This window comes from Homo sapiens, chromosome 5 (assembly GCF_000001405.40).
Source record: "Homo sapiens chromosome 5, GRCh38.p14 Primary Assembly".
Classification (NCBI taxonomy): domain Eukaryota; kingdom Metazoa; phylum Chordata; class Mammalia; order Primates; family Hominidae; genus Homo; species Homo sapiens.
In genome coordinates this window covers 141,638,727-141,660,369 of record NC_000005.10, presented here as the reverse complement: position 1 = coordinate 141,660,369, position 21,643 = coordinate 141,638,727, and the positions used below count along the sequence as shown (strand labels likewise).

General features: G+C 51.9%; 3 protein-coding genes across 30 annotated transcripts in view, besides 2 other annotated features; 2 read left to right on the top strand and 1 right to left on the bottom strand.

Annotated features, from left to right (window-relative positions):
- Nucleotides 1–6,968, top strand: part of ARAP3 (ArfGAP with RhoGAP domain, ankyrin repeat and PH domain 3) — a 28,829-nt gene extending 21,861 nt beyond the window's left edge. For 8 of the 14 annotated variants that reach the window (XM_047417513.1, XM_047417511.1, XM_005268499.2 and 5 more), the window contains 12 exons: nt 444–591; nt 894–962; nt 1,717–1,791; nt 1,891–2,005; nt 3,524–3,652; nt 3,733–3,866; nt 4,094–4,176; nt 4,271–4,306; nt 4,438–4,501; nt 4,612–4,749; nt 4,970–5,008; nt 5,935–6,968. In XM_047417513.1, the coding sequence (XP_047273469.1) occupies nt 444–591; nt 894–962; nt 1,717–1,791; nt 1,891–2,005; nt 3,524–3,652; nt 3,733–3,866; nt 4,094–4,176; nt 4,271–4,306; nt 4,438–4,501; nt 4,612–4,749; nt 4,970–5,008; nt 5,935–6,420 (1,516 nt within the window). In that variant the 3' untranslated portion in view covers nt 6,421–6,968. The remainder of the gene's footprint in view (nt 1–443; nt 592–893; nt 963–1,716; nt 1,792–1,890; nt 2,006–3,523; nt 3,653–3,732; nt 3,867–4,093; nt 4,177–4,270; nt 4,307–4,437; nt 4,502–4,611; nt 4,750–4,969; nt 5,009–5,934) is intronic. The other 6 variants (XM_047417514.1, XM_047417512.1, XM_047417510.1 and 3 more) reach the window with 1 other exon arrangement.
- Nucleotides 1,309–2,508: an enhancer, noted in NCBI's record as "BRD4-independent group 4 enhancer chr5:141037429-141038628 (GRCh37/hg19 assembly coordinates)". NCBI's record gives its function as "activates an origin of replication core promoter dependent on BRD2, P300/CBP, MED14 and CDK7 cofactors, and independent of BRD4, by STARR-seq in HCT116 cells {active_cell/tissue: HCT116}" and the evidence as "EXISTENCE:reporter gene assay evidence [ECO:0000049][PMID:35650434]".
- On the top strand, nt 8,952–21,068 carry FCHSD1 (FCH and double SH3 domains 1). Of its 10 annotated transcripts, none has more exons than XM_005268524.6 (20): nt 8,952–9,022; nt 9,253–9,350; nt 9,966–10,011; nt 10,416–10,483; nt 10,840–10,975; nt 11,062–11,198; nt 11,350–11,413; nt 12,274–12,402; nt 12,850–12,972; nt 13,140–13,235; nt 13,648–13,767; nt 14,179–14,283; nt 14,438–14,599; nt 15,222–15,350; nt 15,428–15,511; nt 15,680–15,797; nt 15,932–16,152; nt 17,282–17,369; nt 18,613–18,668; nt 18,807–21,068. In XM_005268524.6, exons 1-20 carry the CDS (start codon nt 9,002–9,004, stop codon nt 18,870–18,872), a joined length of 2,067 nt encoding a protein of 688 aa, XP_005268581.1. In that variant the 5' UTR covers nt 8,952–9,001; the 3' UTR covers nt 18,873–21,068. The 10 variants fall into 10 exon arrangements, 7 of the variants coding, with proteins under 7 accessions (XP_005268581.1, NP_258260.1, XP_047273816.1 ...); NM_033449.3 differs by having other exon boundaries at nt 10,834–10,975; XM_047417860.1 differs by lacking the exon at nt 12,274–12,402.
- Nucleotides 10,352–10,930: an enhancer, noted in NCBI's record as "H3K4me1 hESC enhancer chr5:141029007-141029585 (GRCh37/hg19 assembly coordinates)". NCBI's record gives its function as "activates a minimal SCP1, AML or CMV promoter by ChIP-STARR-seq in naive H9 embryonic stem cells {active_cell/tissue: H9 hESC(naive)}" and the evidence as "EXISTENCE:reporter gene assay evidence [ECO:0000049][PMID:30033119]".
- RELL2 (RELT like 2) overlaps nt 19,306–21,643 on the bottom strand; it is a 4,068-nt gene continuing 1,730 nt past the window's right edge. For 2 of the 6 annotated variants that reach the window (NM_173828.5, NM_001130029.2), the window contains 6 exons: nt 21,510–21,575; nt 21,349–21,415; nt 20,721–20,906; nt 20,075–20,450; nt 19,925–19,958; nt 19,306–19,699 (listed from right to left, as the gene is read on the bottom strand). In NM_173828.5, coding sequence (NP_776189.3) covers nt 19,926–19,958; nt 20,075–20,450; nt 20,721–20,906; nt 21,349–21,415; nt 21,510–21,575 — 728 coding nt within the window. In that variant the 3' untranslated portion in view covers nt 19,306–19,699; nt 19,925. Of the gene's footprint in view, nt 20,451–20,720; nt 20,907–21,348; nt 21,416–21,509; nt 21,576–21,643 lie in introns of all 6 variants that reach the window. The other 4 variants (XM_011537624.3, XM_005268414.5, XM_011537625.4 and 1 more) reach the window with 3 other exon arrangements.

Below are 21,643 nucleotides of genomic sequence, written 5' to 3'. Positions count from 1 at the left end.
GGCACCCACCATCACGCCCGGCTAATTTTTTTTGTATTTTTAGTAGAGACGGGGTTTCACCGTGTTAGCCAGGATGGTCTCGATCTCCTGACCTCGTGATCCGCCTGCCTCGGCCTCCCAAAGTGCTGGGATTACAAGCGTGAGCCACCGCGCCCGGCCCATGTATATATTTTCTATAGCTCCTTTCATGATGCAGCAACAGAGCTGAGAGTTAGAACAGAGACTGTCTGTCCTGCAAGCCTAAAATGTCTACTATCTGTCCCTTTACATAAAAAGTTTGCTGATTCTTGCCTTATCTGTCTCCCCTAGACTGGGAGCTCCTTGAGGCCAATATTATCTTACTGCTGTATTCCAAGCACTTAGCCCAGGCATACAATAGGGACTCAATAAGTGTTTGCTGAATGAGTGGCTACACTGATGAAGACCGTGGCACCCCTCTGCAGGGTGCAGAAATGTGCGGCTCTAAACCAGATGTGCACGCGGAACTTGGCTCTGCTGTTTGCACCCAGCGTGTTCCAGACGGATGGGCGAGGGGAGCACGAGGTGCGAGTGCTGCAAGAGCTCATTGATGGCTACATCTCTGTCTTTGATGTAAGGCTTTCCTGACCCCTAACCCACAACCCCTTTCCCCTACCCTTGCAGGACCCAGAGACTCTGGATCCTGATCACCCCAACAAGCCCCCAGCCCAGGCCTCTGGTGGCCAGCTATACCAGGAACTACCTCCCAGAGCCCTGGCCCTTCTTCTCCCACAACTTCACTTCCAACATCCTCACCCCCTTGGTTCTTAGCTCTTCTGGCCTCCAGCCCTCTTAAACAGGTCCTCCTTGGCCTTGAGATCTTCCCGGCAGATCCTCTTCCAGCACCCCAACACTCTCTTTTGGCTCTTTCACAGATCGATTCTGACCAGGTAGCTCAGATTGACTTGGAGGTCAGTCTTATCACCACCTGGAAGGACGTGCAGGTAACTCGTCCTGACCTTAGTCTCCTGAATGGGGCAGGAGGAGACATCAGGACAGGAAGCTGACTTTCTGCCCAGTTGAGGAAGTTTCCAGCCTGTCCTTCTGGACACTAGCACTCAGCTCTTTGGGAGACAGGGGGAACCCAATGAGAGAAGTGCTTTGGGGAGTGGGGTTTGGTTAGGGTTTGCTCCATTTGTTCCACCATGAGGATTCTTCCTGGTGATAATCTTGGCACTGGATAGTTGGTTTTGGTTTTCTGTGGGAACATCAAGTGAGACCATACTACTAAGTGTAAGAGATCCAAGGACGAGTTAGTAAAGTCAGACAAAGCAGTGAGAATAATAATAATAAATATAATAGCAAACATAGCTGAGGACTTACTATATTCCAAGCATCTCTAATCTCATGTTAGTATGATACAACTCCATGAAGTAGGTAATCTCATTTTTTTCAAATAAACGGGTTCAGCGGGTCATTTATTCAAGGTCACCCTGTAGCGAGTGGCAGAGAGACCAGGCAGTCTGACTCCACATCTGTCCTCCCAACCACTATGATGCCTTGGGAAGTACATGTGCAGCCTAAAGATGCAGTTCTGCCACTCCCAGAGGTCTCCCTTTTAAGAGCCTGAGTGACATTGGGGTTGGGAGGAGACCTTTGTTGGAAGAGTCACTTATGAGGCAACACGAGGAACCCTCTGACTTTGATGTCTTTTGCACCCTTTTTTTGCCCTTCTGACTTTTTTACCCCTCCCCTCAGCTGTCTCAGGCTGGAGACCTCATCATGGAAGTTTATATAGAGCAGCAGCTCCCAGACAACTGTGTCACCCTGAAGGTTGGTCCTGAGGGGACTGGAGGGGAAATAAGAGGATAGTGAGGTTCCAGGGGCAATAGCCTGACCAGCATGAATTCTCTGCTCTTGCCCTGACCCCAGGTGTCCCCAACCCTGACTGCTGAGGAGCTGACTAACCAGGTACTGGAGATGCGGGGGACAGCAGCTGGGATGGACTTGTGGGTGACTTTTGAGATTCGCGAGCATGGGGAGCTGGGTGAGTATGACCACGCCTGTGTGTTCATGCATGTGTATATGCGTGTGTGTGGTTGTGTGGTCAAGGTCATCAGTGACTTCATGTTACCAAATATGAATGGTAACTCATGGATGACTCATCCACTCATCCATGCGAGGGGACATTCAACACAGTTGACTCACTCCCTCTTTCTCAGTATTCTTCCATCTTGGCCTTAGTGACCCCCACAAGCTCGTAGTTTACCTTCTACCTTAAAGGGAGCTTCTCTTCCTCTTTTGCCCAGACTCCAAATGTTGGAGAGACCCACGGCTCAATCCTAGGCCCTTTTCTCTCATCTATCTACATTTCTCCTTGGATGAATTAACCCATTCTCATGGTTTTAAATGCCATTAATAACCTGACACCCAAATTTGTATATCTGGCCCACATCTCTCCTCTCAGCTCCAGACTCACATATCCAAATGCCTACTCAACACCTCCACTTCTGACAAGCAACTCAAATGTAAAACATCTAAGACCAATTTAGATGATGTCTAGTCCCCTTTCCTCAAAAAAAAAGCCTAGGCCATTCTCCAATTTTTCCCAACTCAGTAAATGGTACCACAATTCACCCAGTGATTAAGGCCAGAAACCTGGGAGTCCTCTGGGACTCCTCCCTTTGTGTCATCTTCATACACAACTCACCAACTAGTCTTGTCGATTCCATTAGAATCAATCACTTCTCTCCATCTCCACTGCTACCACCATCCTAGTTGAAGTCATCATTATGTTTTTGTCTGTCAACAGTAACCACTAAAATGTGTGGCCCCAGAAAGGGGATAGCTGGACAATGTTCCATGCTTGCCTCCCTACAATCCATTTTCCATGCAGCAGCCAAGTGAATATTTCAAGCATAAATCAGCTCATATCCTTCCTATGGTTAAAACCCTTCAGTGGCTTCCCATTGAACTTAAAGTATCATTCCAGTCCCTTACCATGGCCCACATGGCCTTGAATGTCTGACCCCTGCGTCCTCCATGCCTCATCTCACATCACCTGTTCTCGTATCTATCCTCTTTGCTGTAGCTACATTGGCTGTTTAGTTCCCCAAATACATCTTTCCTGATTGCCAGCCTTTGTTCTTGCATTTTGTCATGCTTGAAATCTTCTACCACCCAATCTTAGCATGGCTTGCTCTTCCTAATCCTTCAGATCTCTGAGTCTCATCTTCAAGTGCCACTTTTGAAAGGTCTTGCCTGACTACCCTATCTCAGTTGCTGTCCTGTTGCTTGCTCAGTTTATTGTTTCTTGCAAAGCAATTATTTGTCTGCAATTATTTTTTTGTCTGTACCCTCACTAGACTGTGTGCTTTGTGAAGGGAGGCCATGTGTATCATGCTCACCACCGTATCCCAGGGCCAGCACAGTTCCTGGCATAGAGACAGTGAAAAATAAATGTCTGTGGTTGGATAGTTGAATGGATGAATGAATGACTGGTGAGAGCTGGGGGCTTAGTATGGATATTCTGATTGATATATAAACCCTCACCTTTCCCCTTAAGAGCGGCCACTGCATCCCAAGGAAAAGGTCTTAGAGCAGGCTTTACAATGGTGCCAGCTCCCAGAGCCCTGCTCAGCTTCCCTGCTCTTGAAAAAAGTCCCCCTGGCCCAAGCTGGCTGCCTCTTCACAGGTGAGCCTCCTTCCTCTGCCCAGCATCCCCCAGGTCTCTCCCCTAGCATCCTCCACCCAGGATTGCCCATCTATGCCCAGGTATCCGACGTGAGAGCCCACGGGTGGGGCTGTTGCGGTGTCGTGAGGAGCCACCTCGCTTGCTGGGAAGCCGCTTCCAGGAGAGGTTCTTTCTGCTGCGTGGCCGCTGCCTGCTGCTGCTCAAGGAGAAGAAAGTGAGGCCCTGGGGCCAGAGGTGTGGGATGCTGGGTGGCCATGGAGAGGAGCCATGACTGCACCCACCCTCTGACTCCACAGCCCATACTCTCATCAATCTCATTGCTTCCCTGCCCCCGACTTCTGTGACCCTGTGACCACAGACCCCATTGCTTCCATGACGTCTTGACCTCATTAACCATGATCTCTCATCTCTCCATCTCGCTGACTCTGTTTCTGTTCTCAGAGCTCTAAACCAGAACGGGAGTGGCCTTTGGAAGGTGCCAAGGTCTACCTGGGAATCCGCAAGAAGTTAAAGCCCCCAACACCGTGAGTTTTCTTCCCCAGCCCGCACTTCCAGGGCCTTCCTGCCTTCACCCCCCTGCCCTTTCTGACTGCCCCATCACTGTTCTTTGTCTCCCAGGTGGGGCTTCACATTGATACTAGAGAAGATGCACCTGTGAGTACCTCCTGCCCTGGCTTCTCCTCTGGCCCACCTCTGCACCCTGTCTTTTCTCTTCCCTCTTTGTATGCTCCATTCCTATAGCTGTGACCCTCTCTCTCCCTCTGATTCCATTCTGATCACCCCAGCTACTTGTCCTGCACTGACGAGGATGAAATGTGGGATTGGACCACCAGCATCCTTAAAGCCCAGGTGAGGGGAAAGAAAAGGCTGAGGGCTGGGTCTGTGGTCCCCCTGGGGCCCAGCTGTCCTCCTCAGTGCCTTTCATGCCCACTGATGCCAACCCCTCACGCTCCCACCAGCACGATGACCAGCAGCCAGTGGTCTTACGACGCCATTCCTCCTCTGACCTTGCCCGTCAGAAGTTTGGCACTATGCCTTTGCTGCCTATCCGTGGGGATGACAGTGGAGCCACCCTCCTCTCTGCCAATCAGACCCTGGTAAGGCACCCCACCCTGCCCCAACCCGATTCCTGTCGTGTAGCCCTTGTCACATTGCAGTAGGCAGTGGTGTGCCTGCTAGCCTGGTGCCACCCTATGCTCACTGTCCCCCTCCCTTCTGCCTTCTTCACCCCCATTCCCCACCCCTGTCTCCTGTTGCTAGTCCTCACTGTGTCTTTATGTCTTTCCTTCCCCTTGTCCCCACCCCACCTGTGTCCAGCGGCGACTACACAACCGGAGGACCCTGTCCATGTTCTTTGTGAGTATTGTGCCTGCTCCAGCGGTGTGCCTGTCAACCCTGTATTCCTCTGTGCTGCCTGAGCCCCGGGTGTGCTGTTTTCCTCATGTAGGCCATCAGGGGGTGTGTGTGTGTGTGTGTGTGTGTGTGTGTGTGTAGGCCATCAGGGTGTGTGTGTGTGTGTGTGTGTGTGTGTGTGTAGGCCATCAGGGTGTGTGTGTGTGTGAGAGAGAGAGAGGGAGAGCGAGGAAAAGGGAGAGGGAGAGGGACAGGACAGAGAGAGAGAGGAGGCCAGAAAGAATGAGGAAAATGAGGGATGTAAGATGCAGTAATAAAAGGAGAAAGGTCGGGCACAGTGGCTCATGCCTGTAATCCCAGCACTTTGGGAGGCTGAGGTGGGTGGATCCCCTGAGGTCAGGAGTTCAAGACCAGTCTAATCGACATGGTGAAATCCCGTCTCTACTAAAAATACAAAATTAGCTAGGTGTGGTGGTGCATGCCTGTGATCCCAGCTACTTGGGAGGCTGAGGCAGGAGAATCACTTGAACCTGGGAGGCGGAGGTTGCAGTGAGCCAAGATCGCACCACTGCACTCCAGCCTAGGCAACAAGAGTAAAACTCTGTCTCAAAAAAAAAAAAAAAGGAAAAAGTTGTCACAGAATCTGTGAAATAGAAGGAAAGTGATGAAGTGAATGCATTTTGGAGTTAGACAGACCTGGGTTCAAACCCCAGCTCTACCATTCACTCATTATGTGATGCTGGGCAACTTACTTAACCCCTTTGCATTCAGTTGACTCAGTGTAACCCACTGCACAGGGTTGTTCCAGAATCATACATGCCAAGTATTTTACAGCATCTGGCCCAGAGGAAGAGCTCAGTAAATGTTAGTGATTCATAATCTGGTAACTTTAACTATGTGCCCACTCCTGCCATTCCATTCCCATCCAGCCAATGAAGTCATCCCAGGGGTCTGTGGAGGAGCAAGAGGAGCTGGAGGAGCCTGTGTACGAGGAGCCAGTGTATGAGGAAGTAGGGGCCTTCCCTGAGTTGATCCAGGACACTTCTACCTCCTTCTCCACCACACGGGAGTGGACAGTGAAGCCAGAGAACCCCCTCACCAGCCAGAAGTCATTGGATCAACCCTTTCTCTCCAAGTCAAGCACCCTTGGCCAGGAGGAGAGGCCACCTGAGCCCCCTCCAGGCCCCCCTTCAAAGAGCAGTCCCCAGGCACGGGGGTCCCTAGAGGAACAGCTGCTCCAGGAGCTCAGCAGCCTCATCCTGAGGAAAGGAGAGACCACTGCAGGCCTGGGAAGTCCTTCCCAGCCATCCAGCCCCCAATCCCCCAGCCCCACTGGCCTTCCAACACAGACACCTGGCTTCCCCACCCAACCCCCATGCACTTCCAGTCCACCCTCCAGCCAGCCCCTCACATGACCCTAGGACCAGCAGTCTGAGAGGGTAGGTACCAGAAGACCCAGAAACTCTTATCGTGGCACTGTTGCAGCTTCCTCTGCCCTGGCTGGAAAGACTCCAGAATCCAGTGTGGTGCTGTGGAAGGAGCACTGGACTAAAGGCTTCAGTGGCTGCGTGTCCCAGGACAGGTCATGGCCCCTCTCTGGGCCCAGCCCATTTATCTATACCATGAGGTAACTGAAGTAAGGAGAGCAGTGAATGTCAAACTGTGTTTCTTAGAGCCATAAGCCCCACATATTATCCCTGAACAAGGGCAGCTCCTGCTTTATATATTTGATACGTAGGGGTTCCATGAGAGATTTTGGGTTTTAAAGGAATGGTTTTACTGCATTAAAGAAAAAAAATGCTTTGGAAACCAGAGGCCTGGGTGATGTTAAAGTCTATCCTGTCCCACTTCCTACATTCTGGGACTACCGTGAAGCCTGGAGTAGGGAGAGCGAGTTTGGGAGCTGGGACTCGGGGAGTCAAAAATAGATGAGTAATTGTCAATAAACCTGGGAACCAAAAGACTACCATTCTCATTCATTCATTCAACAAATATGTATTGTGCACCTAATTGGTGCCAGGTCTGGGGATATAGCATGAACAAAACAAACAGGGCCCCTGCTCTTATGAATCCTCCGTTGTGGAGGGGAACAGAAAATAGCAAATAAACACATAAACCAGTACTTGAACAAGTGAGTTTAGTGCTGTGAAGAAACTGAACCAAAGTGATGAGCTTGAAGAGTGATTGTGGAGGCCAGGCGCAGTGGCTCACACCTGTAATCCCAGCACTTTGGGAGGCTGAGGGGGATGGATTACCTGAGGTCAGGAGTTTGAGACCATCCTGGCAAAGATGGTGAAACCCTGTCTCTACTAAAAATACAAAATTAGCTGGTTGTGGTGGCACGTGCTTGTAATCCCAGCTACTCGGGAGGCTGAAGCAGAAGAATCACTTGAACCTGGTAGGTGGAGGTTGCAGTGAGCCGAGATTGCACCATTGCACTCCAGCCTGGCAACAGAGCAAGACTCCATCTCAAAAAAAAAAGAGTGATTGTGGAGATGGTCTTTGGATGGGTGGATGGGGAAGGCATCTGTGAAGAGTTGCAAAGTAAGGGAAAGAAGCTGTTGGAGGCGACAGATGGAACGCTGGAAGGAGGAGATTCTGGAGAAAGAAAGCAGGCATGAAGAACTCTGCATTGGAAGGGACTTGGTCTACTGAGGGAACAGCAAAGAGGCTGGAGCACAGTGAGCAGACAGTGGGAGGAGAGTACAGGCTGAAGTAAGAAAGACCAGCAGGGTCTTCCATGCGTAGCCTTGAAGGCCATGGATTCTATTTGGATTTTATTCTGAAGCAAGTGCATTTTAAGCAAGTAAATTATGAGATCTTATTTCCCTTTAAAAAAGAAAAAAAAGGTTGATCACTCTGAGTGCTGTGTGAACAGTGGGTTGGGGTGAGGGCAGTGTGGAAGCAAGGAGATCAGATATTAGACCAGAAGTCTAATAATGGGGGCTTGGACTAGGATGGTGGTCTTGGAAATTGAGGGAAGTGGATCAAGAGGTTTTTGTTTGTTTATTGTTGTTTGAAATAGAACCTGTAGGACTTACTGATGGATAGAATGTAGGGGTAGGAGAAGGCACATTGACTCTGGGTTTCTGACTTAACTGACTGGAGGAAATGCGGTGCCATTTAAAACGTTACGGGGGGAGGATCAGGTTGAAGGAGGTTTAAAAGCTTTAAAAGTTGAGGTTCCTATTAGATATACTAGCAGAGGTGTCAGTGGGGAGTTGGAATGTGAATCTGGAGTTTTGAGACATGTCAGGGGTACTGGGACAGGTGCCTGAGCCAAAGAAGCTTAGGTGAGGAGGATGAGGAATTGGGGAGAGGCTCCTCAGGAAGCAGTGCTAGGGCTGGAAGATCCTAAAGGTGGCAGGGGCTTCCTGCGCATCTCCCAGCTCTCGCCGACTCACTGGTATCGTTTAGTTTTCAGTGGGGCCAAGTCTTTTTCCCTTTGGGCCTGGTTCCTTCCTGGATCCAGGCATCTTTCTCACCCCGCTCACGCTGGCTTTTCCAGTTAAGCGGGAATTAGGAAAAGGTCTGGGACCAGCCCTCTCTTCGTCAGATGCATCTTTGCTCAGGTGCCCAGTGACTCAGTTTCCCTGGTCACACACTGAATTCCTCTCCATTCCTCATCATTAGCTCGGGGACTGGGGATCTACATATGCAAATGAATAATTATCAATAATTACAGGCTGAATCAGTGGTTACACTACAAATAGAACTTAGGCGTCTTGACTCAGATGCCTGGGGTTCTTCCCACCGCCCAGCGGACGCTGCGTCCGCCCCGCCCGCCCCGCCACCCGGACCCTGCCGGCGTATTCGCAGCAGTAACAGGTTTAGTTTCTCGGTGGCCCCCTCTCGCTTCCGCGCCCTGCGACGTCGCCGGACAAGTCGTGGGCGGGCAGAGGGCGGGGCCTGACCTGGCCTGGGGCGGGGCTCCATAGTGGGCGGGGCTTCCTCCAGTTCCGGAGTCCAGTGGCTGACCGCCTTGCTGGAGCGGAGATGCAGCCGCCGCCCCGAAAAGTGAGCTTGGCCCTGAATGGGGACTCCTGGCGGGCTGGGGGAACGGAGGGAGCTAAGGGGGCATCCGACTTGTGGTAGGAGACGGGAAGTCGGAAGGGGTCAGACCCCAAACCAGAAGTAACAGAGGAAAGAGCTCAGCACCCCCCCGGCCCCGCCCCCTCACCGCTCCCTGCGCGGAGTGTTTTTTAGGTCCTTGCGCTGGGGTCTTCATCCTCTCTTTGCCCCCACAGGTGAAGCCGGCCCAGGAGGTGAAGCTTCGCTTCCTGGAACAGCTGAGCATCCTTCAGACCTGGCAGCAGAGGGAGGCGGATCTGCTGGAGGACATCAGGTAGCTCCCCCAACCCCCTTCATTTACACTCACCTTCGTCGTTGTGCGCCACTTCTCCCCAATATACATGTGCTGGGGTGGAGGAACAGGGGCCAAGAGCTCCCCAGCCGACCCATCCACAGCCCTCACCCTAGGCCTGGCCTCTCCAGATACTGGATAGGAATGCTCCCCCACCTAACCCCTCCCAACCCCCTCCCACCCACATAAACACACAGGAACCCTCCCTCAAAGCCCTTGACTCCACACCACTGCCCCCAACCCCACAATCAACCTTAGGGCAGAATCCCTCTCCCTCTTCCAGACCTGTTGGAAGGCTGGCAGACATCGTACCCAGGCCCCCATCAGTCTTCACCTCTAAGCCTACAGATGAACCTCTGGGGTGGGGAGGATCCTGCTGGGGCCCGGGGCAGTAAGGTGAGGGTTTCCTGTGTTGCAGCTGCCCGAGGTGATCTCAAGGACTCCCATCAGTCCCATTCCCTCTGGGTGTAGTTACACTCTAGGAACCTGGCTCCCCCCAACCGCTCCCTCCTGCCCAGAGTAGAGGACTGAGGATGGGAGAACAGGACCAAACATAACCTTATCCCCCACCTCACCCCCGACCTGCAATCTCCGCAGATCCTACAGCAAGCAGAGGGCAGCCATTGAACGGGAGTATGGGCAGGTATGGGACTTTTCTCTGGACCTTACCTCTTGTTCCAGCCTCTCTTATATCACCAGTAATGTCTGTCCATACCTATCCCTATTGTGGTCAAGAGCAGATGCCTAGAGTCAAGCAGACTGGTGTCAGATCCCTGCTGTGTAATTATAGCCATGTGACCTTGGACAAGTTACTTAACCTTTCTTGACCTCAGTTTCTTTCTCTGTGAAATGGGAATAATAATAATACCTTACCTTCATGTAGGGTTGTTGTAAGGATTAAACAAATTAATGACTATAAGGCATTTAGCAAAGCAAGTGGCACATAATGTACCCAAAGAATGGTATGATTATACTCTGATGTCATATTCTGCCAGTTGGGGTGGGTCTTTGAAAGGGAACTTGGTTCTGTGATGGCTTTTTCACCAGGCACTCCAGAAACTGGCTGGCCCATTCCTGAAGAGGGAAGGGCACCGGAGCGGTGAGATGGACAGCAGGTGGGCCCTATGGAGGGGGAGGGCCACAGAGGCCAAAAAGTGATGGGGAGCTCAGCCCCAGGAACCTGTGGGGATGAAGGCCTAGCAAGTGGGGAAGGCACGTGAGCTGTAGGTAGAGCTGACACAGCAGCAGCAGAGGAGCTGACCCAGCAAGGACACTGTGGGTGGGGTGGAGGGCAGGAGTGAGGCTTGTGGCTGAGCTAATGGGCTGATCGATTGATGGGCTCCCAGACAAGGGAGGATGGGAAAGCACTCTGTCTCCCATGGTGTTGGTCAGGGGGCAGGGGGTGGGGGTGGTCTCATGAAGCTGTGGAGTGCTCTCCTCCTCAACACAGACCTTCTCTGGGGAGGGGCAGGACAGTGTTCGGTGCCTGGCGCTGCCTGCTGGATGCCACCGTGGCTGGGGGCCAAACCCGACTCCAGGCGTCTGACCGATACCGTGACCTAGCAGGGGGTACAGGGCGGAGCGCCAAGGAGCAGGTGCTTAGGAAGGTATGGCTCAGAGGTTGGGGTGAAGGAAGAGCTGGCTTGGGACCAAAGGTGGTCTAGGTAAGGACTTTGTGTATGCATCCCAATAGGGAACAGAGAACCTCCAGAGGGCGCAGGCTGAGGTGCTGCAGTCTGTCCGGGAGCTGAGCCGAAGTCGGAAGCTGTATGGGCAGCGGGAACGTGTGTGGGCCTTGGCACAGGAGAAGGCGGCTGATGTCCAGGCCAGGTGGGGTCATGGAGAGTGAGGAAGCCCAAGGTTGGGGAACAGGGAGGTGGGGCTGTCTAGGGGTGGAGCCAAGTCACCAAAGCTGGGCCTGACTCTGATCTCATATTCTCCCACTTGGGGTGGGCCTGACTCCTTTCTCTCATCTGCACAGGCTAAACCGAAGTGACCATGGGATCTTCCACTCTCGGACCAGTCTCCAGAAACTGAGCACCAAGGTTCGAGGGATGAGGGCATGAGTGGGGGCAGGGAAGAGGGAGGCAGAGTAGTCTAGTGGTTTGGAACATAGGTGCATATGTATGAAAGACTGGGTTGAATCCAGGCTCTCCTACTTCCTGGGTGGGTAACCTTGGTTAATTTACTTGATCTCTGTGAGCCTTATTTTCTTCTATAAAATGGAGAGAATACCCTTCTTTTTCAGTCCTTTAATATGCATTTATTGAGGATCTGTATATAATAGGCACTGTTCTAGACATTATGGATACAGTGGAGAACACTACCAATGGAGTTCCTGCCCTCACAGTCTGGTTAAGAGAGACAGACAGCAAATAAATACTTAGATTAAGATGAAAATAAAACAAGGTACTATGATAAAGAATAACAAGGGGGTAGAATTTAGAGGGAGGCCTCTCTGAATAGGTGGCCTAACTGTCAAGAAGGAGCTGGCCTTGCAAAGATCTAGGGGAAGAACATTGCAGAGAGAAGAAATGGTGAGTGCAAAGGGTCTGAGGTGGGAATAACTTTGTAGGCTCGAGGAACTGAGAGAGGGCCAGTATGGCTGGAGTACTGTGAGCAAGGGAACAAGCGCTTGAAAAGAGGTCAGAGAGATTGCGGGGGCCAGCTCATATTGAACGTGGTGGACCATGGTAAGGAACAGTGGATTTTATTTTAAATGCGTGCAGAAGGCACTAGAAGATTTTGAGCAGGAGTTGTGTGTATGCAACATTTTTAGTGTAGTGCCAGGCACATAGTAAGCACTCAATAATGTGAGAATCCATTCTGGATCTGGCTTCTCAATTGGTCTTGGAAGGACTCTGGGGGTCTAGGGCTTCCTATTGACATCAGTTTACCCTCCTAGCTGTCCGCCCAGTCAGCCCAGTACTCCCAGCAGCTGCAAGCAGCCCGCAATGAGTACCTGCTTAACTTGGTGGCTACCAATGCCCACCTCGACCATTACTACCAGGAGGAACTGCCAGCTCTGCTCAAGGCCAGTTTTAACCCAGACACCCCTATCCCTCAGCAGGGAGGGAAAGGAGGACCTCCCCCTGCTTCTTGATCCCCATGACAGTGGGTGGTGCAGGGGATCTTGTCTGTTTAGAGTGAGTAGATGATACATACATGCACTCTGGTTCTGCTCCTAGCTGGCTGCATGGCATTGTACAGTACACTTAAACTCTTCCGAACCCCAGATTCCTCATCAGGGATAACCCTTTCTCTGCCTATCTTATAGCACTAGTGGGGCTCAAAGGAGAGAATGGATGTGAACGTGTTTTAAACTTCTAAGTGCTCTGCACACGAGGGCCTTTCTCATGAAGAATGTCTTCTTCTCTCCTTCCTATACCTCATGCCCATCACCTGTCAAATCTGGAACGAGCCTATTTTACAGTAGAGGTCTGGGGGAAGGGTGGTGTCAGTATCTTGGGGTTCTCTCTAGGCCCTGGTCAGTGAGCTGTCAGAGCACTTGAGGGACCCCCTGACCTCCCTGAGCCACACTGAGCTGGAAGCCGCAGAGGTCATCCTGGAGCATGCCCACCGCGGGGAGCAGACAACCTCCCAGGTGAGGGCTGTGGCCTCTAAGAGCTTCCCCGGGGATCCTTTTTACCCTTCCCTCCCAATGCAGCCCTCTTTGCTTCACACATTGTCCTTTTTCTTCCAAGAAGTGCTAGGGACAGGGTTGGAGAGTGAGTCAGTGAATGAGTGACTTTGACTTTTCCCAACCCCTAGGTAAGCTGGGAGCAAGACCTGAAGCTGTTTCTTCAGGAGCCTGGTGTATTTTCCCCCACCCCACCTCAGCAGTTTCAGCCAGCAGGGACTGATCAGGTGAGATCTTCCTGCTTGTTGGAACCAGGCCACATATAAAGGCGATTATGATTTAGGCCTCCTCCATTATCTTTGTTTTGTGTTAACTTAGTGAGTGTACACCGTGGAGAGGGGGTTTCAGAACTCCAGCTCACCTCCCTCCCAACAGGACACACACAAAAAAACACACCTCAGTCCACCTTTCAGTCACTTGACTGCGCCATCCTTTTCATTCTACCTCTGTCCCTTGACCTGGATCCCATTTCTGAAGCTCTGTATCTCTGTGTCCACATTACCTGTGTCCATGACTGTAGGCATGTGCCCCTTTCTCTTTGTCCTTGTCCTTGGAGGTCAAGATAGAGTGGAAAAAGGAGGGAACTGGAGAGAAGGAGCAGCCTCAGGTCCTCCTCACAGCACCCCCTGACCCATTCAGGTGTGTGTCCTGGAGTGGGGAGCAGAAGGCGTGGCTGGCAAGAGTGGCCTGGAGAAAGAGGTTCAGCGCTTGACCAGCCGAGCTGCCCGTGACTACAAGATCCAGAACCATGGGCATCGGGTGAGGTGGGGGGGCACAGGTGTCATGTGCACCTTCTTGTCTCAGCAAGAAGAGCTGAGAGAGGGGATCTTGGAGCCATTGAGGGTGTCATGGAGCTACAGAGGGGAGGGAAAGGTATTTTAAGGTAACAGTGTGGCACAATAGTTAAGAGCACAGTTTTTGGAGCTAGACCGACATAGGTTCAAATTCTCTTCTGTTGCTTCCTAGTTCTGTAGCCCCAGGTAAGGGAGTGACTTAACCTCTCTGGACTTCAATTTCCTCATCACTAAAGTAGGGCCAATAATAGCACCCACCTCATAGGGAAGATTAAATGACATAATGTATGTGATGCAACTAGCAAAGTACCAGTCCCATAGTAAGTCATGCCCCACAGTATTTCCACCCACCCCTGTTCTCTGCCTTCCCAACCAGGTACTGCAACGACTGGAGCAGAGGCGGCAGCAGGCTTCAGAGCGGGAGGCTCCAAGCATAGAACAGAGGTTACAGGAAGTGCGAGAGAGCATCCGCCGGGCACAGGTGAGGCACACCCCTGAGGTTAGAGATCCCACCTTCTCAGGCAAGCCCCACTCCCTCTACTCCTCTTTCTGATGGTGGGAGGAAGGAAGGGAGAAGCAGAGAGTAAACACTGCCGTCAGCCAGGTTCCACTAACTTACTTCCTCCCCATGGCAGGTGAGCCAGGTGAAGGGGGCTGCCCGGCTGGCCCTGCTGCAGGGGGCTGGCTTAGATGTGGAGCGCTGGCTGAAGCCAGCCATGACCCAGGCCCAGGATGAGGTGGAGCAGGAGCGGCGGCTCAGTGAGGCTCGGCTGTCCCAGAGGGACCTCTCTCCAACCGTGAGCTCCTCCCCCAACACTACCCATCCTTACTTAGAAGGGAAAAACTCCAGTGGAAGGCAAACCCTATAAAACTGGAATCACAGTTGTGCCTAACTCAAAGGGTTATTACGAGGCTTAAGTGAAATCATCATATATCATTCTTTGCATAATTTCTGGCATAGAGTCCTCAGTACATTTTTATTATGAGCATAATAGAATGATTAAGAAGTAGGGTTCTGGGGCAGTCTGTAAGGGCTTTGAGTACCAGCCACTCCACTTATGAGCTGTGCAATCTCGAAAAGTGACTTAACCTTTCTGAACCCCAGTTTCCTTGTAAATAAAGTGAGGTTAATAGTTGTGCAAAACTATTAACACTGGGTCATTATGAAGATTAAATGAGACAATATACACAAGATACTTTGCATTGTACCTGGCACATAGTATGCACTCAATTACTGTAACTCTATTACTGTTAGTATTATCCTGCTCTGTGGTGACTGTGGTTGTGTACATGGTGAGTGGATGGGTGCACCTGCCTTGGAGGATCCATGGTGTCCTTTAGAGGAAAGATGGAAGAGTGGGAGATAGAACCAGTGCTTGAGAGTGGGCCCCATATGAGGTCTGTTCTTTGCCCCTCTAGGCTGAGGATGCTGAGCTTTCTGACTTTGAGGAATGTGAGGAGACGGGAGAGCTCTTTGAGGAGCCTGCCCCCCAAGCCCTGGCCACGAGGGCCCTCCCCTGCCCTGCACACGTGGTATTTCGCTATCAGGTATGAATGGGGGTGGGGACCTCTGATGGGCAAGGGTGGGGGACAGCCAAGTCCTGAATCCTTCGTGTGTGGCCCAGGCAGGGCGTGAGGATGAGCTGACAATCACGGAGGGTGAGTGGCTGGAGGTCATAGAGGAGGGAGATGCTGACGAATGGGTCAAGGTGGGTATGGGACCCCGGGCTCTGACCTTGGGTTGGGGGCAGTAGGAGGGACTTCTCTGTGGCCTCCATAGACCCTTCTAGGCAAAGCTAGAAGCCTGAGTAGAAGAGAGCCAGGGTCATGGACTGCTGAGGTAAGTCTAATATCTGTTCACATTGCTGGGTGAGCAGGCTCGGAACCAGCACGGCGAGGTAGGCTTTGTCCCTGAGCGATATCTCAACTTCCCGGACCTCTCCCTCCCAGAGAGCAGCCAAGACAGTGACAATCCCTGCGGGGCAGAGCCCACAGGTAAGAAAGGGAAATTTTGGGTTAGAGGACCCTGGGTATGGAGAAAAATTGTTAGGGGTTGTAGCCCTGGGGTGTCATGGTCCTGGGGCACTGCTACCCACCTCCCTCTCACCGTCTCTCCTGGGCCTCTGTAGCATTCCTGGCACAGGCCCTGTACAGCTACACCGGACAGAGTGCAGAGGAGCTGAGCTTCCCTGAGGGGGCACTCATCCGTCTGCTGCCCCGGGCCCAAGATGGAGTAGATGACGGCTTCTGGAGGGGAGAATTTGGGGGCCGTGTTGGGGTCTTCCCCTCCCTGCTGGTGGAAGAGCTGCTTGGCCCCCCAGGGCCACCTGAACTCTCTGACCCTGAACAGGTGAGGCTTACCTTCTCCCTGAACTCCCCAGGCACCTCTGGGTTGACCCTCCCACCCCAATAAAGCCTCATATTCATCTTAATGCCTCCTCTGCTCCCCAGTTTTACCTCCTACAGTGGCCTGGGCCTCCCATCTCCTATGGGGGGGCAGGGAAAAGGGAAACCAAGGCAGCCTTCATAGGAGTTTGGGGGGTCCTACTTTAGTGCTGGATAGATCTGAGTTCAAATTTCTATTGTATGACTTGGGCAATGATTTAACCTCTCTGAGCTTGTTTCTTCACATGTAAAATGGGGATAATACCTACTTTAGCAGGCTCACTGTCATAATTAGAGATAATCGAGGTAAAGCCTTCTTCTTTTTTTTTTTTTTGAGACAGAGTTTCGCTCTTGTTGCCCAGGCTGGAGTGCAATGGTGCGATCTCAGCTCACCGCAACCTCTGCCTCCCGGGTTCAAACGATTCTCCTGTATCAGCCCCTCGAGTAGCTGGGATTACAGGCACGTGCTGCCACGCCCGGCTAATTTTCTATTTTTAGTAGATACAGGGTTTCTCCATTTGGTCAGGCTGGTCTCAAACTCCTGACCTCAGGTGATCCACCTGCCTTGGCCTCCCAATGTGCTGGGATTATAGGCATGAGCCACTGCGCCCCGCCGAGGCAAAGCCTTTAGTGCAGTGGAATGCAGAAGGTGTTTCAATATAAGATATCTGTTGTTATAATGTATATACATACAGCAGAAAGAGAATAGGAGTGGGCATCAGGAGAACTGGGTTCTAGCCAGCACTCTGCCAATAACTGGCTTCGTGATTTTGGACAGCTGGCTTAACCTGGGTCTCACTTCTAACATAGGAGTCATATTATTAAAAATGCCTACCTCATGGGGTAGTGGTGAGGATTGAATGAATTGGTACACGTGAAGTGCTAGCAGAACACTTGAGACATAGTAAACATAAGCGTTCAATACATATTGGCTGTTGAAATATTTGTCAGCTACACCCCCCCACCGAATGCAAGCATTTGGCCACTTCCTGTATTGAGAAGTGATGAGGAAGGAACTGGAGATGGGATGAGAGGAAAAGCTGGTAAAACCTCCCCACATGCCAGGAATAACTCTGTGCCCACCCCACCTCCAGATGCTGCCGTCCCCTTCTCCTCCCAGCTTCTCCCCACCTGCACCTACCTCTGTGTTGGATGGGCCCCCTGCACCTGTCCTGCCTGGGGGTGAGTGGAAGGAACTGGGAGCCTTGGGAGGCTAACAGACAGGAAGAAGGAGGAAGCTTGGACTCCCAGGTCACGCTCTGGTCCTCTCCGTGCCTTCAGGCATCTTGCTTGGTGGAGAGCACTTGCCTGGGCTCTGGAGCCAGGCTGACTGGTTCAGGTCCCGCTCTGTCATCTCCAAGTGTGTGGTGGGATTCTGAACCTGTCTTGGCCTCAGTTTATGTTCTTTATGAGGTAAGGAAAAGGTACTAGCTTATTGAATTCTTATGAGAGTTAAAAAAGATGCCTGTGGACTACACAGCATTGTGCCTGGCACACAGTAAGTATGCAGTCACTGTTATTATTTTAAAAATTAGCTAACTTCTCTCACGGTGTCCTCCCAATATGCACCTTTTGCTCCTAGTGTCCAGATACCTAGCTTTGTATCATTATTTTTTCTGATGCCCACTTTTTTTCTTTTTTAAATGTCTATAGCAGTTTTATTTTATTATTTATTTTAGATTCAGGAGGTACATGTGCTTGTTTGTCATATGGATATATTGCATACTGGTGGAGATTGGGCTTCTAGTGTACCTGTAACTCAAATAGTGAACATTGTACCTGATAGGTAATTTTTCAACCCTCGCCCCTGCCTCTACTCCTACCTTTGCCCCCTTTGGAGTCCTGGGAGTCTGTTATTTCCATCTCTATGTCCATGTGTACCCGTTGTTTAGCTCCCACTTATAAGTGAGAACATGCAATATTTGGTTTTCTGTTTCTGAGTTAGTTCACTTAGGATAATGGCATCCAACTCCATTCATGTTGCTGCAGAGGACATGATTTCATTCTTTTTTATGGCTGTGGAATGCCTGCCTTTTCTAAAACTTTCTGGTACTTCCACCTTGTCCACAAGGAGTCTCCCTCCCTGGAGTTACCACCATCTCCACCACCCCAAGTTCACTTTGCATGACTTAGCACTTAGTCATTTATTGTGTTTGTTGAGGTTTCATTATTGGTTTCTTGACAGCCATTGGGGGTGGGAGCACTATGCATCCTATCTCCCTTAGTTTTGTACCTTGAGCAGAGCTGATTATACAGCAGTTGCCCAATAAATGTTGAGGACAGTGGATAGAGTGATGGATTTTATGGTCTAGGATGGTGACCATTAATTTAACAAATATTTATAGAATGCCACTGTCCTAAGTGCTGGAGATACAGCATTGAACAAAACAAAGTCTGAAGACTGACTTGTGGTTCTTATTTCCAGACAAAGCCCTGGACTTCCCTGGGTTCCTGGACATGATGGCACCTCGACTCAGGCCGGTAAGGGCCCTTGCCTTGGAGGAGATTGTATGTAGAGGGGTTATTCCAACCAGTCCTGTTTTGTCTGCAGGGCTGAGGGAATAGACAGGGATACCCTTAAGGGAGAACTCTGGAGCACTAACTGTGTGTTCCCTACAGATGCGTCCACCACCTCCCCCGCCGGCTAAAGCCCCGGATCCTGGCCACCCAGATCCCCTCACCTGAAGGCCAGGGAAGCCTTGACCCCCAGTGATGCTGCTGTCCCTATCTTCAAGCTGTCAGACCACACCATCAATGATCCAGAGCAACACAGCCAAAAGCTGGAATCGCCCTTATTTCCACCCTCACCTCCAAGGGTGGAAACTTGCCCCTTCCCATTTCTAGAGCTGGAACCCACTCCTTTTTTTCCCATTGTTCTATCATCTCTAGGACCGGAACTACCTTCTCTTCTGTCATGACCCTATCTAGGGTGGTGAAATGCCTGAAATCTCTGGGGCTGGAAACCATCCATCAAGGTCTCTAGTAGTTCTGGCCCACCTCTTTCCCCACCCTGGCTCCATGACCCACCCCACTCTGGATGCCAGGGTCACTGGGGTTGGGCTGGGGAGAGGAACAGGCCTTGGGAATCAGGAGCTGGAGCCAGGATGCGAAGCAGCTGTAATGGTCTGAGCGGATTTATTGACAATGAATAAAGGGCACGAAGGCCAGGCCAGGGCCTGGGCCTCTTGTGCTAAGAGGGCAGGGGGCCTACGGTGCTATTGCTTTAGGGGCCCACCACGGGCAGGGGCCTGCTCCCAGCTGCCACGCTCTATCATATGGAGCGAGGTGTTGGGGAAGGCGGGGCAGGCAGCCTGTTGCAGGCAGGGGAAGGAGAAGAGACTGAGGGGCTGTGACCTCTCCTGAGGCCCCCAGCCTGAGACTGTGCAACTCCAGGTGGAAGTAGAGCTGGTCCCTCAGCTGGGGGGCAGTGCTGTCCAGTGGAGGGGAGGGCTTTCACGCCCACCCACCCCCTGGCCCTGCCAGCTGGTAGTCCATCAGCACAATGAAGGAGACTTGGAGAAGAGGAAGAATAACACTGTTGCTTCCTGTTCAAGCTGTGTCCAGCTTTTCCCCTGGGGCTCCAGGACCTTCCCTACCTCCACCACCAAACCAAGGGATTTATAGCAAAGGCTAAGCCTGCAGTTTACTCGGGGGGTTCAGGGAGCCGAAAGGCTTAAATAGTTTAAGTAGGTGATGGGAAGATGAGATTACCTCATTTAGGGCTCAGGCAGACTCACCTCACATACTCCCTGCTCCCTGTGGTAGAGACACCTGAGAGAAAGGGGAGGGGTCAACAATGAGAGACCAGGAGTAGGTCCTATCAGTGCCCCCCAGAGTAGAGAGCAATAAGAGCCCAGCCCAGTGCAGTCCCGGCTGTGTTTTCCTACCTGGTGATCAGAAGTGTCTGGTTTGCTTGGCTGCCCATTTGCCTCTTGAGTGGGCAGCCCTGGGCTTGGGCCCCTCCCTCCGGCCCTCAGTGTTGGCTCTGCAGAAGCTCTGGGGTTCCCTTCAAGTGCACGAGGGGTTAGGCTGCTGTCCCTGAGTCCTCCATTCTGTACTGGGGGGCTGGCTAGGACCTGGGGCTGTGGCCTCTCAGGGGGCAGCCTCTCCATGGCAGGCATCCCTGCCTTGGGCTGCCCTCCCCCAGACCCCTGACCACCCCCTGGGTCCTGTCCCCCACCAGAGCCCCAGCTCCTGTCTGTGGGGGAGCCATCACGGTGTTCGTGCAGTCCATAGCGCTTCTCAATGTGTGTCACCCGGAACCTGGGAGGGGAGGGAACACTGGGGTTTAGGACCACAACTCAGAGGCTGCTTGGCCCTCCCCTCTGACCAGGGACATCCTGAGTTTGGTGGCTACTTCCCTCTGGCCTAAGGTAGGGGAGGCCTTCTCAGATTGTGGGGCACATTGTGTAGCCTGACTTCTGCCGGAGCTCCCAGTCCAGGAGGAAAGAGCCAAGGCCCACTTTTGGGATCAGGTGCCTGATCACTGGGCCCCCTACCTCAGCCCCCCTTTCCCTGGAGCACCTGCCCCACCTGCCCACAGAGAACACAGTGGTCTCCCCTGTCCGGGGGCGGCTTTTTCCTTCCTTGGAGCGTCCCTGACGGACAAGTGGAGGCCTCTTGCTGCGGCTGCAATGGAGGCAAGGGGCTGCAGAGCCCAGGTGCACTGTGTGATGATGGGAGGGGGCTCCGTCCTGCAGGCTGGAGGTGGCATCCACACTGGACAGCAGGGAGGAGGGGAGTGAGGGTAACATTTCCATTTCCCTTCATGTTTTGTTTCTTACGTTCTTTCAGCATGCTCCTTAAAACCCCAGAAGCCCCAATTTCCCCAAGCCCCATTTTTTCTTGTCTTTATCTAATAAACTCAATATTAAGATGTTAGTGACCATATGTTCTTCCTCCCAGGGCTGTTTGCTAAAAAGAACACTGCTTAACCCAAAGGAGTGGCACTAGAGGTGAATGTTAGGCTTGATGATATCTAGATGAGAGAGATGGTTTGAAGGAATCGCGATTTCTACAAAACAACTTTCTTCCTATAAGTTAGCCAGCTTTGCCCTTCCCCCAACCCCATACATGCAAGGAGGCTGGGAGAGGATTGTGCTGGAGGAGAGGATACTCTCCAAGGCAAGCTAAGTCATGCTGGCCCTTGTTTCCAGCTCACCTGGACAGCTGCACTGTCCCTTCTCCTTCACTGTCCCCCAGCATCTCCTTCAAGGCCTCAGCATTGGCTGAGGGAAGAAGGAAAAGAGGGAGTCAGTGGAGGTGGAGGTCAGGGCAAGAGAAGGTTGGAGAAGAGGGAGCAAGGGGCTATGCTAGACCCACCTTCATTCTGGATGATGCAGCGAACAATCCTCTCTACTGTGTCCTCATTCATGTCATCGTCCTCAGCTGAAGGATGAAAGAGATTGGCAAGGAAGCAGGAATGAGTCAGCTTTGGGGGAATATTACCTGGTGGC